The sequence below is a fragment of the Homo sapiens genome, chromosome 6, assembly GCF_000001405.40.
Source record: "Homo sapiens chromosome 6, GRCh38.p14 Primary Assembly".
Lineage (NCBI taxonomy): Eukaryota > Metazoa > Chordata > Mammalia > Primates > Hominidae > Homo > Homo sapiens.
Window position 1 is genome coordinate 20,809,728 of NC_000006.12, and position 20,505 is coordinate 20,830,232.

Below are 20,505 nucleotides of genomic sequence, written 5' to 3' on the forward strand. Positions count from 1 at the left end.
GTCAATTCAAAGATGAGTTGCTCTACTTCTTGAAGAGTGTATCAAGTGACAGAAAATCAGAGATTGATTGGTGTATCCTGACTTTTTATTGTATTCTTAGCTGGTTTTTGTCTCTTTTAAGATATGTAACTTCCTTAAGATATTTTTACTTTTAAGATCTTATGAATAGAAATTATTCAGAAGTATTTACTATATTTAGTATTCAAATTTTAACAAATACAAAATGGAAAAACAAGCATCAAGTTGGTTTAAAGATAGATGAAGACATTTCTAAGGAGGCTGAATCACATCTAAACTTTTAGATGGACAGCCCCGCAGACTGATAGTGATCCTTCAATTGTGTCCTATTTTTCTACCCTCTGCTCTTCCACAGTTTTAACTCTTTTAAACCATTATAGAACACTTCAAACACATAGAAAGAGAAGATGGTATAATGAACCCTCAAGTACTTACCTAGCTGCAGCAATTATCAACTCATGGGCAATCCAAATTATTTTATCTGTCTTCCACCACCCTTGCCCCTTCTCTTGCCCCAGCACAACTAAATTGTTTTGAAGCAAAGTGCAGGAGTTGTTGTATCATTTAATTAGTTAATATACCAGTTATGTGTTTGAGACCAGCCTGGGCAACATAGTGAGAGTCTCTCTCTCTCTCTCTCTCTCTGTCACACACACACACACACACACACACACACACACACACACACACACACACACACGTGGTGTCATGTTACGCACCTGTTGCCTGTGGTCTTAGCTACTCGTGAGGCTGAGGTGGGAGGATCGCTTGAGCCCAGGAGTTCCAGGCTGCAGTGAGCTATGATCATTCCACTGCAGTCTAACCTGGCTGACAGAGTGAGACACTCTCTTTTTAAAAAAAAGATTATGTGTGTATGTATGGGTGTGTGTGTGTGTGTGTGTGTGTGTGTGTGTGTGTGTAATATATTGCTAAAAAAAAAAAGTGTTTATTCATTCTCTCTCCTCTCTCTGGAAAACAAAACAACCCAATAACATTGTCACATCTAAAATAAAATTAATTAGGTTTCCTTAATATCATTAAACATCTAGTCAGTCTCCAAGCTTTCACAGTTAGTGCTCTTGTTCATTCGCCCTCTTTATCTCCTTTTCTCACCCACCCTACCCCCAGTATTTACAATTCTTTGTTTTGAATTAGGACCCAAACAAGATCCCTGCAACGCTTTGGGTCTGTGCCACCACAGCTCTGGTTCTTTGTCCAACTTGGCCATCAGACTTGTAAGACTGAAATGGCTTCAATACTATTTTTATTTAGATTCATGTAAGGAATATGAGCAGGAGACATAGCAGGTACAACGTCTTCATCTCAGGAAACCTAGCAGTTACCCTAATGTACAGCTCTTTTCTCATCTAAATAGAATATTTTGACTGCCATGGACAAGAGCCAAGGTGTGTGGATGCTACCTTATCAAGCAAAGACCCAGCCTTGATTTTTCACTGATTTTTTAGGTCATTTTAGTTAAGTAGGCCCAAGGCCTGTGTACCATTTCCTAGCTTTCTCCATCCGGGGCAATTCTATACAGCAGATGAGGCTGACTTAACATTCTGCATTTATCTTAATTCTGTTGTTACCAAGGAGATAAATGTCGAGACGCTGAGGTCATTCCCAGGAAAGTCTGACTCAGCCCTGGCGAATGTTAACCCTTTACTCACCTTGTGTCTTAAGTATCTTTTTGTCTGTTGTTTCATTTTTTTCTTTCTTCGTTTTTTGCAGTTTATTTAAGGAAACCATTTCATTTGTCCTGTAGTTTTCCACATTCTGGATTTTGCTAATTGCATCCTCATGGTGTTATTTAATGTGTGTCTTTATCCCCAGATTGTGTTGTAAACTGGAAATCAAATCTAGGCACTTGACCAGAATTCAGCATTATGGCAAGCATGCTTCATAGCTGGTGCTGTACACTGCATATTACATCATAACAGGGTCTCATGTCTACTCCTCTTACTTTTGCTAATCTGCGGGTTATGTGTTGTTAACTTGATCCAGCCTTTGTAAGATTTTATCAATTTTTTACCTAGTAGTAAAAAAAAAAAAAAAAAAGCCTGGACTGTTGGCTCAATTAGGGGCAGACAAACATATTCTGTAATGGGTGAGATAATAAATATTTTAGGCTTGCAAGTCACAAAAATGTCTATCAAACAATTTTGTTTCTTTTTACATCCCTTTACAAATATAAAAGCCATCCTTAGATCCCTGGTCATACGTAATCAGGGTATAGGCCAGATTTGGCAAGCTGGCTATAGTTTGTCGACCTCTGGCCTGGATCCATTATTTTATTAAGGATTGCAAAATTTTGATATTTTAATTTTATTGCTTCTTCATGTTTTAGTTGGAATTCCTCTGAAAAGAATTTTTTTAAAAATTTGGTTACCCTGCTTTATAGTTTCTATAGAAAGGTAGGACGAATGCCTAATTCCTTTGGTTTTATTTAAGATATTAAAAAATGAATTGGTTCTCCAACATTCTGCAAAGGTAATTGTTAAGTATTATGGTTTGTTTTTGTTTTAATTTTTAACCATGAATCATTATGCACTTGGGGGATTTTCTTTAGAAAAGCATTTCTAATGTGCTTCAAACTATTGCTTATTGGCTAGTGGAGGCTCCTTCAAGTTGGCTCCTATTAATAGATTATTTTGACATGCTGTCAGTAGTCTTTCTAGAGCGTTATTTGAAGAGTCCGACTTACGTATACGTCCATGAAACCATCACCATAATCATGATAATGAACGTTTTCATCACTTCCAAATTTTTCTTTTGCTATTTTATAACTCATTCTTCTCTGCATCCCCATCTGCAGAGAACTGATCTGCCTTCTGTCAGTATAGATTAGCTTGCAGTTTCTAGAGTTTTACATAAATGAAACTATCCAGTACGTTCCCCTATTTTTCTGGTTTCTTTAATACAACCTAACAGCCTAGATTGTTAGATTCATTTGTATCATTGTATATATGATGACTGAGTTCTTTTTATTGCTGAGTAGCATTTCATGGTAGGGCTATACCAACATTTGTTTATTCGTTTACCTGTTGATAGATACCTGGTTTGATTGTGTTTTCTGATTTACAAATACAATTTTTTTAACATTTATTTGTGAATCTTTCTGTGGACATATGCTCCCATTTTTCTAGGGTGTGGTATGGCTGAATTGGTTGTACCATTTTATATTTACACTAGCAGTTTTTGAGCGGTCCATTTGCTTTACCTTGGCACCAACACCCAATATGTTCTGTCAATATTAGCCATTGTAGTGAGTATATAGTTATTATACCTCAGTGCAATTTTAATTTGGATTTCTTTAATGACTAATGATGTTGAACATCCTTTCTGTCTCTCTCTCTCTCCTTGTCTGTCTCTGTCTCTGTCTCTCTCAAGAGAATCTTGCTTTATAGGCCAGCTTGGTCTCAAACTGTTGGCCTCATGTGATCTCCCCACTTTGGCCTCCCAAAGTGCTAGATTACACAGCCATGGGCCATGGTGCCTGGCCTCAGGTATATTTTTAGGTTGAGTGCCTACTCAAATCTTTTGTCCTTTTTTATTGGTTTGTTTGGCATACTATTTAGTGCTAGGATTTCTTTTATATGCTAGATACAAGTTCTTTATTGGCTATGTGTTGAAAACATTTTTCTCTCATTAGGTTACCTGTGTTTGCATTTACTTAACATTGTTTTTTGAAAAAGCAACAGTTTTATATTTTGATAAAGTCCAGTTTATGATATTTTCAAGTATAACTTGTACTTTTTGTGTTTCACATCCAACCTAAGGCCACTAACCCTTTCTCCTGTTTGTCTTTTCTCCCTAGAAATTCTGTAATGTTAGCTCTTATATTTAGGTCTGTTATTTGGTTTCAGTTAATTTTTCCATGTTGTATGAAATAAGAGTTGAGGTGCTTTCTTTTAAATATGGATATGGAATTGTTCCAGCACCATTTGTTGAAAGATAATCCTTTCCCTTTGTCTTGGAACACTGTCGATACTCAACTGACTCTATATATGTGGGTCTATTTCTGAACTCTCTGTTCTGTTCCATTGTTCTGTATATCTCCCTTTACACTAGTTTCACACGGAGTTGATAAGTGTTGCTTGAAATCATAATGTAAGTCTTCTAACTTCATTCTTTTTTCAAAAAATTAGTTATAATATTATAAATTATTTACATTTCTATAGATTTTAGAATTACTTTTGCAGTTTTTACAAAAAAATGCCTCTTTTATTATTGTCATTTGGATTCCATTGAATTTATGGATCACTTGGGGGAGAATTGGCATCTTTACAGTATTGAGTTTTCTCATTCATGAACATGGTATATCTCTATTTCATTTAGGTCTTCCTTAAATTCAACAGTGTTTTGTAGTTTTTGTTAATAGGTCTTGCATATCTTTTGTCAAGTTTACTCTTAACTATTTCATATTTTGTCATGTTATTGTGAATGATATTTTAAGAAGTTTTAGTTTCCAAGTGTTTGTTACTATTATATAAAAATAAAATTTTTTTTTAATGTTAACATTGTATTCTCCCACCTTCCTAAACTTACTCATTATGTGCAGTTGTTTAATAGATTTATAAGAATTTTTTTGATAGTCATGTTGTCTGTGAATAAAGACAGTTTTACTTCATTCTTTATGACTTTTATGCCTCTAGTGATCCGCTTCTGGGACTATAGGCACTTGCCACCATACCCAGCTAACTTTTGTAATTTTAGTAGAGATGGAGTTTCACCATGTTGGCCAGCCTGGTCTCGAACTCCTGGCTTCGGGTGATCCACCTGCGTCTGCCTCCTAAAGTGTCAGGATTAAAGGCGTGAGCCAACATGCCTGACCTTTTTCTCTGATTGCTTTTAATGTTGTTATGCAGCTATTGAACAGCTTTTAGTTTACAGTTCATTTTCCTTCACTACTAAGTCAGAAGGCTTTTGCTGACTCTGCTCAATGCCCTATGTATTAGGAAATCTTTTTCCTCTGACTAGAAAGGAATTGTTTTGCCTATTTCCCTGGCCCCTGTAGTTCCTGTACATGTACAGTTTGGTCAGTATTCTAGGGAGCCTTTCTATCATTCTCCAGAGTTCTTTTAAGCTTGTTCATCTTTCATACTCTGCCCTACAAATTTTCACTGACTTAGTGTTAATGATAGCTGAACTATTTTTACATTGCTAAGGCTGCCATGCTTTCTTGGGGTTCCCCATCTATATGTTGAGATCTGGAAACTCTTTAGGCACCATGTTGGAGAATCTGTGAGCTCATCTTGTCTGTTTTCCTCCTCTCAGTTATCACTGTTTTGCACTGCCATTTGTCTAATATCTGAACATGTTTTTCATATGTTTTGTCACATTTTAAAATTCCTTAATGTAGGAGGGTAAATCCAGTCCCTGTCACTTTATTTTGGCCAGAAGCAAAAGTCTTCTGCCAGTTGCATTTAGCATTTTTGCATTGGTATTCTTGAGAACGGTTGCAGGCTTTTAAAAAATTTTTTGTCAGATTTCAGAATTATTACCATGTTTGTTTCCTAAGAAAAGTATCAGATACTTTGTTTCTCTGTTTTTAGTAGTTTATATAGTACTTGTATGATCTAGTCTTTAAGGGTTGAGTAGAAGAAGTGTTTTAGGTTCTCTGTTTCTCCTGTGCTAATTGAACTTCTTAGACTTTTCTGGGTTCAGTTTTGGTAAATTGTATTTTTCTACAAAATTATCCAGTTTAACTGGGTTTTCAAAATCACTTACAGAAGTTTGTATAATCTCTTTTTCTCCTTTTTTTTTAAATAAACTTTCTCTTTTTTGATGGTTATCTGTTTTTTGCCCTTTCTAATTTTTCATGTTTTTTTCTTTATGCTTTGCTTCCTGATTAGTTTAACTGACTACACTTAAAAAAAAATTAGTCATCTTTATTGGATTTTGTTCTGATTATGAAAGTAAACATGTTCATTAAAAAAAGGTTTAGAAAATTTGAAAAAAGCACAAATAGTTGGATAAAAATCAGCTAGTCTACCACCCAGAGATAACCACTGTTAACAGTTTGGTAACTTCTGGTATGTTGGTATGCATATAATTGCATGTTAATTTTAACACAACTGAGATCAGTTTTCTGTGCACATTCTTGTATTGATTTCCTGGGGCTGTCATAATAAAATATCACAACCTGGGTGGTTTAAAATAACAGAAATTTATTCTCTGGCAGTTCCAAAGACCAGAAACCCGAAATCAAGGTGTAGGCAGTACCATGTTCTCTCCAGAGCTATAGGAGAGAATCCTTTCTTGCTGCTTCTAGCTTCTGCTCATTGCTAGCAATCCTTGGTGATCCTTGGCTTTGGCAGCATGACTCCATTCTCTGTGTCCATACTGATATCTGGACACATGGCCTTAATATGTCCCCCCCCCCGCCTTTTTTTTTTAAGGACAACAGTCATTGGATTAGGGTCTCACCCTGTTCTCATCTGACTTCATCTTAACTTAATTATATCTACAAAGACCCTGTTTTCAAATAAAGTCACATTCACAGATTCCTGGCAGATGTGAATTCTGCAGGGATACTAGTCAACCCAATACAGCATTCTATTGTTACTTTCCTTTCTGTTAATGTCAAAGCTTTCTTTGTACTTTCATTTCTATCAGTGAATTTTAGTGTCTGCTGCTAGGCAAAATTGGTACTAGAGTGTATCAGCATTGCAATGTGCTAGCATTTAGTTATACCTACAGTTTGCCCATAAACACAGATTTCCATCATGACCTGACAGTGCTTCATCATAGAAAAGCAAATCAGAGGTCATTAAATTTTCTTAGAGCTTATATCCTGGTTAATTTTAGAAAATGAGAATGCTCTTTGTTACAATGTTCTTGAAAATAATTTAATTGTATTATATCTCTAAGTGAATAGAATATGTTTTCAGACCCAAATTGTGAATCATAAAGAACTGAATAATTAATCTAATTGGATCAGAAAACTAAGAAAAAAAAAATAGTGGCATGAGTGTTTTTGTTTGGTGTGGTATATAACAAGACATTCCTGGTGCTCATCCTGGTCCTTATATAAGCTAGAACATATCTGGTCATTTTTCTCATTTGTTGAACAAATGTTTACCACCTCCAGTTTTATTTTTGTTATCTCAAGAGTCAGTAGCTATTCTCTATAATAATGGTGAATTAAGTATTATTGTGGCTGTGTTTAATTTAACACTTAGATTAGTTTCAGATTTTCACTAATCTAAACAGAGGATTGTGGAGGGCAGGGTTTGGAAGAACACCCAAAATTCTTTGAGGACATTGTGTGTTATGCACTGCGCTATGTTGCATATGCTATTTTTCTTTAACTCCTGTAATGCTATGAAAGGTAGGCATTAAAACCATGTTAAATACTAGAAAAATGAAAACAAAATCATATTACTAGTTATTGGTATAGTTGGAAGTAGAGCTCAGGCCTTAATTTCCTGAGATTTTTGCTTGTAGCACTAGTTCTTTTATTAATATACGTACCTGCAGGCTCCAGTGTAAAAAATAGGAAATATGTATGAACATCTTCTATGAAGTTTTCTATATGGCAGCCCATTTAAAAAAATTGAAGTGGAATTTTGCTTATTTTCTTTTGTTTACATTTGTTTACATTATTGTATTCATTTGTTTACATTATTAATACACTGTCTCTTCGTAGTAAATTACAGGCCAATAAAAGTTCTTTATTTGTTAGAAGGTCAGAGAAAGTAGATTTTATGTTTTTTTCTAATTAAATAATTTTATTGGGAAAAAAGAAACACTTTGAACATGAAAGCATAAAGACTATTATTCAGTCAGTTTAGTAAATCATGTGCCATGAACACAATGTGCGGGGTGGCCCTGGCAGACTGTTCACAACCTGCAGGAAGATGTCATGTTTTTATGCTACTCATTTTTTTATGTTATTGCTTTAAATGACATGGAGAATTTTAGGTGTTTAAAAAACTATCTGAAAAGAGTTGACTAATTATTGTTGTTTGAAGCAATAGTGATATGGTGTCTTCTACCTCCGGCAAGCATACAAACACCATTTGTCTAAATAGCTCTGTGTGATCCAAGATATACTATTATTTACTTAGAGTTTTTATGGTTTACATCAGTAAGGAACTTTTATCATAGGGTGTTTGTGAAAAAAGAACTGCCTGATCTCAAGGAATGCTTTATGATAATAATGACAGGCTGTATTAGCATGATTGTAGCCTGAAGCCTCCCATTCCTGAAGAAGGGGCCACTACTATTTCTTGAGCCTTTTCCTTCCACTCTGACCCCCATCAGTCCTCTTTACCAAGTACTCATTTACATTATAGTTCATAGTGTGGTGTCAGCTGTTCCCAAAGGTGCTCTCCTCAAGCGAGTGAATCATTTCTAGGATAATGGCTTGTTTCAGAACTTACACAATGTCTTTTTTGGTCTTGGGAGATCAAATGACAAACTATCACAATCAAGGGCTAGATTATGGTTTTTTGATAACATGTCTCAAACTAGGGTTAGCAGTTTCTTCACTTGAGGTATATTTCTGGATTGAATTCTATAAACTGTTCCACAGTAGTAATGTCACGTGGCTCACATTTTTGCTTTTGTTACTCACATACTATACAGCAATAAACTCAAATTATTATGCATTATCAGATTGTATTATAAATAGCAATCCAGCATCAATAATTATCTCTTTTGAGTGTTTTGTCTTGAAGAAAAGTGCTAAGATCCTTCTTAGTAAAATCAAGCTAACATAACTTTTCTGTCTCCTATAATTGAAATCAATTACTTCAAAAATAAATATAGTTCTATATTATGACCTAAAAAATATAGTTCTATATTATGACCATTGAAAATAATGAAGTGTGGTTATATAGTTGCCCAGTTGGGACATAACCTTTACAAGGCATCATTCATAATGAAAGAGTAGGTTTTGTTAGGACAGATACATTAATCTTAAGTAAACATTTAAGAATTTATAAAATTATTATAAATATATTTGTATAACTATATAGTTATATACTTAATAATTATATATATACACACACTAATATGTATATATTTAAAGTGCCTCTGTTGTCATGGAGTCACAGTGAGATAATGTAATACCCTGGGGAGTAGTAGAGAGGTTCATTGTTCACCCTCTTATGGTACCTTTTGATTATTGCATTATGTTTAGAATTTAGGTTGTACAAAATGTTTTAAAAAGCTCTGTGTGTTATTAACTGTTATAGGAGTGTATTTCTTTAGTTCATGGATAATACAAGTGCTTGGTTGATTTACACTTTAAAATAAAACAATCATTTTGTTGAACTAGAGTTATTTTGTTTCACAAGGTACTCACTTGATCTGGTTGTAAAGAACAACTTCTGGGAGTACCATTTTCACATGGTATTTTTGGTTTTTTTCCCCTTCCACATAGTTAGCATTACACAATTGCAAAACTTTGATTTAATGTCTGCTGCTTTATTTTCACTATAAATAAGCTTAAATGCTTATTTATAGTATTTTTTTTTTGACCTACATTAATGGATAGTTTTGGCCAAGGTGACAGTCTTCTGGGATGTCCTAATAATTTTTAGCTGAGTTTTACGCAACCATCTCTCTTACTTTGATAGGCAAAATAATTAGAGTGTATTTTTTGAGAATCTCTGCTAAGGGTGCCTTAAAGATTCTTCTAACTCCAGGCCTCTATGAATATGATGATTTTCCATTTTTAAAAGATGTGGCAGTATATTCTTATTGGCAAAATGTGTTTTTGCTTGTATTCATTTAGAGCTCTGTCTCCTGTTTTTCTGATGATCAAATGGATTTCTGAACTTTACGTCACACCTTTAGTGACAGAATAAAATTAACCAACTAGATGTTATCCTAAGATGACCAAGTATCTAGGCATGAAGTGTTCTGAAAATCATTTCACACATTTATCTTGTGCTATATCGAACGCTTTGGTCATTAAACAAATGGGGTGCTTTTCTATACTTCGAAATAAATGTAAAGTGTGAAAATATTTTCAAATGTGTTTGAGTTCCTTTGTATTTTACTTTACAAATGGATTTTTATTATAGAGATCAGAAGATAGCAGTAAATACAGTGTCAAAAATTTTTGTTAAATATTTATTTTTATTTATTATTTTTATTAAATATTTAAGAAATACATTGTGGGCCACACCCTCAGCTAGAAGCTTCACAGAGCAGTGCCAACCGCTTTCAGTGATGCCTCGCACAGATATGGAGGCTGCGTAGTAACCGCAGCAGCACTACGTAGAAGAGGCTTTCTCTGTCTAGAACTCCTATAGGCTTAGGAAACCACTTTGCATGGCTGAAGTCTCGTGTGTAACCTACCAAGGGGGCCAGTGGATTCCCTCCAAGTTCTTGCTTCTTCTTGGTCCTCCCCAGAATTCTCTAAAGTAAGTGGAGGGTCATGGGCCTCAAAGTATGTAGGCTGCATTGTCACCCACAGTTCCTCCCACACAAGTTGCTAGCGGAAGAGGGTGTAGGCTTCTAACTCTAATCAGAGTCACCTGTGGTTATGTCCATACATTCAGTCTGGTTGGAGTCAACTTTTCATGCCTGGAAGTCATTCTGCTCTAATGATAGTAAACACTTAATGAACACCTATACTGTTTGAGGCCTTTTCTGAGTAATTTACAGACATTAGCTTGTTTCTTCTTCCCACCCACCCTGTGAGGTTAAGGACTTATATTATTCTGAATTTAAAGGTAAGGCAAATAACTATTAAGTAATTTATTTGCTTAAGGTCAAAAAGCTAGTAAAATACCAGGTTGGAATTCTTATCCACCAGGCTAACTTGCTTTTGATGCGATTTACCCTGTCCATGTGCATAGTGAATGACTTCTCTATTTCCAGTTCCATGAGGATTTGCCCTAAGAGATTGTTGATGAGGAGCGTTGGCCCCAGTGTCCTATATTCTTAAGTTCAAGTCCTGGTTCGGCTACTCTTTTGCTGTGTGACCTTGAGAAAGCCTTGATTCCTCTTTTATAAGGTAGTAGTACTTTCTTTCATATATTCAAAAATGTTTATTGAGGGCCTACTGTGTACCAGGCACTGTTTGAGGTGTTAGGGATATTGTGGTAGGGATAAAGTTCCTGTCTTCATGGAGTTTCAATTCTAGTGGTGGAGACAGACAGGTAAACAGCAGACTAGATTAAAATGTCAGATAGTGAACAGTGTAATGAGGAACAATAAAGCAGGAGATGTAGAGCTGTTTTGGACAGAGAACTTTTAGGGGTGGCCTTCGAGATAGTGATGTTTGGTCTGAAATATGCAGGAAGTGAGGGAGAGAGCCAGGAGGATGCCTAGAGAAGAGGGTCTCAGCGAAGCAAAAGGCCTTGGGGTGGAAAAGCAAAGAAGCCACTATGAGCAGAGTGTTTGGAGGGAGAGCGGTAGGAAATGAGACTGGGAGGCAATCAGGAACCAGAGCAGACTTTGCATTTTATTCATCATGCAATGGGAGTTGGCATGAGCAGGGGATTGGCATGACCTGATGGAGTTTTCAGTCTTGTGTGGCTGCTGTAGGGACGATATCCTGTCGTGAAGTCCGAATGGAAGAAGAGAGAATGGGTTGCTCCCGTGATAGTCTAGATGAGACATGGTGGAAACAGCATCCTAGGGTAAGCCCCTCCTCTGGAGGCTTGTAGTCCAGAACACTCTTCTGCCAGCTGTCCTGGGCCCAATCTGATCACATTATTTAACTTTACCACTCCCTTCCTTCCCTGGCATCCCAAAGCCTGGTTACTCTTCTGTATTTCTTTCCTCCATAGCACTTATTGCTCTCTAATGTGTGGTATCATTTGCTTATATATTAGGTTTATTTATGACTTTCATCGCTTACCAGAGCTTAAGCTGCTCAAGGGCAGGGATTTTTCTATTTTGCTCTGTAATGTGTCCCAGATGCTTTGGAACAGAGCCTGGCATAGAGTGTGTGCTTGGCAGGTATTTGCTGAATGTATGGCTTAAGTGCTGATGGAGGAGGTGAGAGGAGATGTAATTTGAAGACAAAGCCAACAGGATTTTCTTCTGGATGTTCTTGTCCATTTCTGGAAGTTATTCTAGTAGACTGGAGGTAATAAACTTAACTTGGTACCTGACATAAAATACAACCTCAATAAACCATTAATATATCATTATAAGGCCAATGTGCAGTAAAGGGCTACATTTTACTCTTTCATGGGAAAATAAATTAATAGAAGAAAGTATAGATTAGAGGTCAGCAAACTCTGGCCCATGGGCCAAAATAGCCCATTGCCTGCTTTTGTAAATAGAGTTTAATTGCAACAGAACCATGCTCGTATGTTTACATATTGTGTATGGCTACTTTTGCTCTATGACAACAGAGTTAGGTAGTTGTAACAGAGACCTATGGGTCCTCAAAACCTGAAATATTTACTGTCTGGCTCTTTCCAGGAAAAATATGCCAGCCCCTGATATAGAGAGCATTATACTGAGTATATGGTATTATATATTTTGCAGTATAGATCATAATGCCATTTGACAAGTTGTTATAATGAAGTAATGTTGATGAAAGCAAATATTGAACAACAGGAAAGTAGTTGGTTATGAATTAATATAGACTTATCTTCACCAAATCAGTTTATTTATAAAATATCAAAAGACAGAATCTGAAAGTCCTACAATTAATCAAGTTGAAGTATCACTGAATATTTTAGGTCATCATTCACTCCCATACTCGATAATCAGAACATGCCACAACATAAGTCCAGACCTCGCGATACTTCTCGGATAACAGTTCTTGAATCACAGCACCAGGCCAGAGTGGCAAACAGCATCGTTTTCTTTGGCTCAGCGATAGGGTTAGGCTTTGTGTCCTCACCCAAATCTCATCTTGAATTGTAATTCCTGTAATCCGCATAATCCCCATGTGTCACGGGAGAGTCCAGGTGGAGGTAAATGAATTATGAGGATGGTTTCCCCAATGTTGTTCTCATGATAGTGAGTGAGTTCTCACGAGATCTGATGGTTTTATACAGAGCTCTTTCCCCCTTCACTCAGCCCTTCTCCTTCCTGCTGCCTTCTGAAGAAAGTGCCTTGCTTTCCCTTCACCTTCCACCATGATTTAAGTTTCCAAGCCTCCCCAGCCATGCTGAATTGTGAGTCAAGTAAACCTCTTTACTTTATAAATTACCCAGTCTCTGGCAGTTCTTTATAGCCATGTGAAAATGTACAAATACACTCAGTGTGTTTAAAATTTTTCTGTGAATCTTGGATAAATTAAATACAAACTTCTCAGCCTGGTGTTCACTTGCCTTTCTAACCAGACTCTGTCTTAATAACTCCTACTCTCTAATAAGCACACGTACACATTCTCGTTTTCTCTCTCTCTCTGTCTCTCTCACATACATATATACGACAGTTGATGTCCGTCCCTTTCTGAAGAGAGATGTTGTTTCTTTCCCTACCCTTGGTATCCATTTGTGAAATTCCACTTTCTTACTCAAGGCCTGTCTAAAATGCTGTCTCCTTTTTGAAGGCTTTTCTGGTTCCAGTTATGGTTGTTACCTTCCTTGATTTGGCCATTCATATGGTCCTTGTCATGTTTCCTTACAGTTACCTGTGCATTTGTATTATTCTACCCTATTAGATTCTAACGGATGACATAGTGTTTTGCATAGAATGCGTCTTCAGTAAGTATAGAATTTAATTGAATTGATACAAATGTTTGTGTGTGATGCATTTTAATATTTGCTAATCTAAATAATAAAAAGTAAAATGCTGATAACTCATAATTTAGAAAACTGCCTTTCCTGTTTTGAAAAAAAGAGTGCAGCTTGCTGCCAGTGCTCATTTAATTTTACATAAACATGCTCTGTGAGGCTGAAGCAAATCTGACTGATTTTCAGTGTGAAAATAAAACATAAAAAATGTTCCTGGAGTTACTTCTAAACAGAATTAACATCAGAACTGTCTGAATTATCAGAATCGTCTATTTCAGAAAAATTGGATTCATCAAATAACTCTTCGGTGAACAATTATTTGAGAACAATGTTACCATCATACAAACGAATGCTGCGTTTTCTAGGATTTGACATTTTCAGCGATTGAGAATTACTACATTTTGTAAATGGAAATACCACTACTAAAAACAGAATGCCATAAATAGAATGATGTCTTTTGCTTCCAAAGTCGAGATACTAGAGTGATGTGAAAATAATAATAAAAGCAAGATACTTCGTGGCAAAGTTATCTCGGGGTGAATGCTCCAGTCACAACCACCACTGGTGGATGTTCTTGGGGCAAATGGGACAAAGGTTAAGGTATTTTTATGGTTGGCCAGGATGGACTGTTATTATTATGAATTTTGGGATTCCCTTAAAGTCTACTTTCAAGTGGATTCAAGCATGGATAGAACAACCAAAGGTGTTGTGTCTTGCTACCGCTGCTTCTACTCTTACTACTGCTTTAGGCTGTCTAGTCTGTAGTGCAGTTAAAAGGATATGAAGCCTCTTGAACCTCTGGAGAGGACCATGTTCTTTTGAGCCACAGGTAATCATATAAGTAGACTGGCTTGACAAGTCTAAAGGCCCTGAATTAGTTATCTATTGCTGTATAACTGCGAACGTTGCTGCTTAAAACAGCACACATTTATTATCTCACAGCATCTGTGAGTCAATAGCTCGGGCATAATTTAGGGTCCTCTGCCAGGCTGCAGTCTAGGTGTCTGCAAGAACTAGAGTCTTACCTGAAGGCTTGACTGGGGAAGGAGATTCTTCCAAGCTCACATGGTTGTTGGGAGCATTTAGTTCTTTACAGGCTATTGGATTATGGGCCTCAGTCTCTTGTTGGCTGTCAATCAGAGGCCACCCTTAGTTTCTTGCCATGTGGCCTGCTCCATAGGGCAGCCTACAACATGGCAGCTTCTTCAAAGCCAGCAAAAGAGAGAGTTTTCTAGCTAGATGGATGTTATAATGTTATATAATGTAATGATCCAAGTGACATCTGTCACTTTTACCATACTTAACTGGTTAGAAGCAAGTTACAGATCCTGCCTACACGTAGGGGGAAAGGATTCCGCAAGGGCGTAATTCCAGGAGTCAGGATTCTGGAGGCCATATTCCAGTCTGTTGTTAAGAGGCTCATATAACATTTTTATTAGAGCTATCTGTATAGAAGTGCTATGATTTTCTTATTTGTATTTTAAAAATTCTTGACTGTTAAAATGGCATGTTTGTGATAATTAGCTAATATATCTTGCTTCTTTTTCCTCTTATAGCAGATAAGTTGTAGTTAATTGGTAGTTCATGTTAAAGTTTTATTTATATTTCTGCTTTTTCCTACCATTTCTTCTCATGAGTAGGCTGGAGAGAGCATGTGCCAAATCCCGACTCCTTGGTATTATCTGAAATGATTGATTAGTTCTGCCATCTTTAACTCTTCCCTTACATTCCAGGTAGCTCCTCTTCTGGTTCTTCCTTTTTCCTTTTTCTTTGTTCCTTTCCATTCTTCCCCTTTGGATCATTTTCTATTTCACTCTGCAGTTTAATGACTTTTATATTCCCCATATATATTTTATATGCTCTATAATTGTGTGTTGAAAGTATGGTTTAAATGACATAATAATTTTGAATTTGCCTTAGTAACCTGAAGTTTTTACAGTGGGTTCTGTTGAGACTGCAGGGTTCTTAGGGGTTAGAAGTGAGAAGATAGGCAGATAAGCTATAAATCAGTTCTGCTCAGTTCTGCTCAGAATGTGGACTGTGCTGGCTTGTGAAAGATTATTACGAGTCAAAGATAAGATATAGACAGAAATAGAAGGTAAGTGTTTAGAAACTTTTGTAGGGTTTGGTGGGGTTTTTTGTACTTTATTTGTTAAGTATTAATGATAACATTATGTCACACACTGTGCTTTTACAACAGCTCTCATGAACTTTTAAAGTATGGTTTGATTCTTCCTGATAGTACTTGTGGCATCGAAGCATACCCTGAATGACAGGCTGTATTTACTGTAAATACTTTAAAAAATTGTTGCTAACAATATGAGTGTAATTAATGAATTTTAAATGGTCCCAGCTTATTGATATTAACCCGTTGATTATTTGTTGTAACTTAGTAAATTATTGCCAGATTCTAAATATGGGTATGCTACTTAGAGAGGTCCCCAAGACCCCTGTAGTCTTATTAAGGCATTTCTTTGTTGGGTTTGTATCTCCTCTCCATTCTATTTCTTATTCTGTCATTTTGGGGGGATTACTTTATTACATTACATATTTGGGAGATTAGCTACTTTTTCTTTACTCACAAATATGACCTGAATTTGGTCCCATCAGGGTTTCTGCTACTTGTAATTATATCATTTCCTTTTCAAACAGAACCTTGCTTAAATAGATGTAGCAATCTTTAGTCCAAGTACAGCTTTTCTCCTTTGTAGGGGAAACTGGAGTTTGGAGGAACAGTTTAAGCAGAAGCCACTTTTCCACTCTCATGGGCTCAACCTAGGTGTCTTCACAAGAGAATGGTTGGCTTCACTGGGTTCATGTTAATACAGGGAGGAGGGGAGCCCACTTAAAAATACAGTCAGTGTCACAAAAATCTTTTTGGTTTTTTCCTCCCTAAATATAGTATTTCTTTTTGTAATAGTTTTATCCTCTGATTTTTAAAGCATCTTTTTAGTTTTTCTTGCTTGCTTTTCTTGTGAAAGTTGCTATTTTCAGGTGTTTTGAATTGTTTTGGAAGTTATAAATGGAATTGTGTACTTCAGAGAAGGTCAAGTTTAGAACTCATCATGTGTCATGTGCCTATCTCCCTTCTTTATTTTTAAATGGCACACGAGTGTCTGACTCGCACATGGTATTTCTTGCTTTTTAGACTGGTGCCAGACTCAGTGTCTTTTGTTTTTAATAGATAAACGTCTGGTGGTTTGTGTTTTGCTGCGAGATGCATGTGAGTCATACTAATCACGAACTCCGTCCTTCCTCCAACCTCTGATTATTTTTGGACAATTTACCTATACCTCAACATCTTGAAGCTTATATGTTGAAAATCTCAACTGTATATCTGTTTATAAGTATTCTGATTAATCACCTGCACTTTTCATTTCCTTATAGATTTATGTATTTACTTTTTTGGTGAGCAAACTACCAGTCTTGTTGGCTTTGTTTTTATACTTGTATATTGTTCACAAAATTAGCAAAAGACTTAAGATAATTGGCCATTAATCTTTGTGACTTACTTTCTTCATAGTCATGGACATTACCAAAAATCTTAATTTCATTAGTATATCTAATTCTGTGAATTACACTCTTCTAGCACAGTGGCTCATAGTTAAAAACAAACAAAACCAACAATACTATGATCAAAAAGACAACTGATATATTTTATGTTATTATTAAAGAGCTTGTTCAGCATTATCAAAATCGTCTTTATTTCCCCAATATGTTATGACAGGTGGTATGTGTAATGGTTAAGAGCATAGATGTTGGAGCCAGACCGTCTGGATTCTACCACTTAACCAGCTGTGTGATGTTTTTGATATTTGGCAAATCACTTTACCTTTCCATTCCTTGGCTTCATCTCTGTAAAATGAGGAATAGTAGTACCTACCACATGGGGCAGTTTTCAGTATTAGCTAAATATATGTAAAGTGCTTGTAACAGTACCTGGCGCTGCCCTATAAATGCTATGTATGTTCTTAGCTGCCATTGTTTATCTTTGTGATGGTCTCTATTTGTGTTACAATTTTTTTAACAATAGCAAAGAAACCTTTACTTATGAGATATTAAAAGTATGTACTAAGATTTAAGTTTTTTAGGCTAAAAATTTCTAGTAAAGCTAGTTTCTATAACTCTTAAGAGATGAACAATTGAAGCTAAACACTTTTCATTATCAAGGGCTATTACAAAGTGATGTTTTAGACATAAAAAAAAAGGTCTATGGAGTTGCATGGAAGACTAAGTTATGTGGTTCTGCCTTTTTTAGCATTCTGGCCTTCTGTGTTCGTTTAACATTTGCAAAGTTCCAAATTGAAGACATAAAGATAGGTGATTTGTCAATGAGGTAGTATAAAGTCCTACATGTCTTATATCTAGAACTGAGGTTTTCATTGAATTACCACTTACATTTTCTTAAGACTGTCGATATACTTCTATGTTATTGTTTTAGTTTTTTTTTTAATTGGGAACATTTCCTTGAACATTCACTTAGAGTATCAAAAGAAGTTTTTGTTTGTGGTTGGAAAAAATGTCTTTAACCTGCCAACAGAATTTAAAATTGCATAAGAAAATGGGTGTTGATGCTGAGAAATGGTGTGTAGGCAGCAGATCTCTTGTTCTGTCTGAAAACAGTGATGAAATACAAACAACAAATGTGGAATTACTGTTGCTCTATTTTAGTGTGGGAAAGATAACTTCAGAGTAGGGAGAACAATTTCTGCTGTTTTAATAAACTTTTATTATATTTAAGCATGGGATTTAGTTGGCAATCATTATAGGGATAAAACAAAGCTAATTTCTATAAATAGTACTGTAATGCCTGTTTCATTATTATTATTATTATTTTGAGACAGAGTCTTGCTCTGTCACCCAGGCTGGTGTCCAGTGGCACAATCTCGGCTCATTGCAACCTCCACCTCCTGGGATCAATCAATTCTTGTGCCTCAGCCTCCCAAGTAGCTTGGATTGCAGACATGCACCACCGTGACTGGCTAATTTTTGTATTTTTAGTAGATACAGGGTTTTGCCATGTTGGCCAGGCTGCTCTCGAACTCCTCACCTCAAGTGATCCACCTGCCTCAGCCTCCCAAAGTGCTGGGATTACAAACATGAGCCACTGTGCTTGGCTGTGTTTCATTATATTTATGTTGAAATTTAATAGGTATTTATAGCTTGGGTTTCCTTGATTATCTTTAGGTAATTGGTGAACTGTTGGAATTGTCCATAGAATTATATTTTCCTCTTGAAACTTTTATGATAGATTAGCATTAACCAGTCTGTCGTTCTTGTGGTAAACTAAACATTACGTAAAGTTGACCTTTTTAACTATTTTTAAGTGGATAGTTAAGTGGCATTAAGTACATTCGTGTTGTTGTACAAACATCACCACTATCCACCTCCAGAACTTTTCCCTCTTCCCAACCTAAAACTCTGTACTCATTAAACAGTAACTCCCCATTCCCTGCAGCCCCACCATTCTACTCTCTGTCTCTATGAACTTGACTACCCTAGGTACCTCATATAAGTAGAATCGTATAGTGTTTGTCATTTTGTGACTGGCTTTTTTCAGCTCGCATAATGTTCTCAAGATTTATCCATTGTGTAACATGTCACATTTCATTTTTTAAGGCTGAATAAGATTCCATTGTACATATATAGTAGTTTGTTTATGCATACATCTGTTGATTGACATTTGGTTTGCTTCCACATTTTGGCTATTGAGAATAATGTTTGCTGTGATCATTACTATACAAATATCTGTTTAAGTCTCTGGTTTTAGTTCTTTTGTGAATTTCACTAGAAATTGAGGGATTTAACCAGAGATGGCTAGATCATATGGTAATTTAATTTTTATTTTGTTTTAGTAGCTGCCACACTGTTTTCCTCAGCAGCTACACACCATTTTACATTCCCACTGTCTGTGGAATTTTGTGTTGTTTATATTTTTCTTGAGAATCAGTCGTTAGATTTCATTAAACCTCAGAGTGAACTACTGTTCTAGTATTTAGTTCCTAACAGATTCATTTCGATTCCTATATACTCAATACAACAAGTATTACAGATTCGTTATATTAGGCCTATTTACTTGCTTCCTCATATCACGAAAACTTTCTTGGGTAGATGCAATGCAAGGCATTACCCTTCACCTTAGTCATATGGGTTAAACAAAATAGGTAACTCCGGAATTAGGCAAAATCTTGTGTGCAGGAATCTTGAAAAACTGTATTATTTTTCAAGCTCTCCAAAAGATTGAGTTGACAAAAGAAAAAGTAGCATCAAATGTTTTATTTTAGGTCCTTCTGTACTGCAAGAGCAGAAGTAGACCAATGTTAATAATTTTGATTTCTCAGATTCACTGAAGAGATGTGGGTCTACAAACACTTTAGGTACTTGGATCAACTATTCTCAACATGAATATGATACTGAATTCATTTATGCAAATGATTTTTACAGTAGGTTTGCTGTTATTTACTTTTATTATTATTATTTTTTGAGACGGAGTCTCACTTGCAGTGGCACAATTTCAGCTCACTGTAACCTCCGCCTCCTGGGTTCAGGCTATTCTTGTGCCTCAGCCTCCTGAGTAGCTGGATTACAGGCATGTGCCAGAACAGCTGGCTAACTTTTGTATTTTTAGTAGAGACGGGGTTTCACCATGTTGCCCAGGCTGGTCTTGAACTCCTGGCCTCAAGTAATCCACCTGCCTCGGCCTCCCAAAGTGCTGGGATTACAGGTGTGAGCCACCATGCCTGGCCTGTTATTTACTTTAACATGGGTTATTTTCTACCAGTTACATGATCATAGCTGAGCCTTTTGTGAACCTAAACTTTAG

General features: G+C 36.1%; 1 protein-coding gene across 16 annotated transcripts in view, besides 2 other annotated features; it reads left to right on the forward strand.

Moving 5' to 3' along the window:
- CDKAL1 (CDKAL1 threonylcarbamoyladenosine tRNA methylthiotransferase) overlaps positions 1–20,505 on the forward strand; it is a 697,948-nt gene that overhangs the window by 275,271 nt on the left and 402,172 nt on the right. The gene's annotated exons all lie outside the window — the stretch shown is intronic.
- Positions 634–1,228: an enhancer, noted in NCBI's record as "H3K27ac hESC enhancer chr6:20810592-20811186 (GRCh37/hg19 assembly coordinates)". NCBI's record gives its function as "activates a minimal SCP1, AML or CMV promoter by ChIP-STARR-seq in primed H9 embryonic stem cells {active_cell/tissue: H9 hESC(primed)}" and the evidence as "EXISTENCE:reporter gene assay evidence [ECO:0000049][PMID:30033119]".
- Positions 15,618–15,818: a silencer, noted in NCBI's record as "peak5721 fragment used in MPRA reporter construct". NCBI's record gives its function as "represses an SCP1 promoter by STARR-seq MPRAs in K562 erythroleukemia cells {active_cell/tissue: K562}" and the evidence as "EXISTENCE:reporter gene assay evidence [ECO:0000049][PMID:32103011]".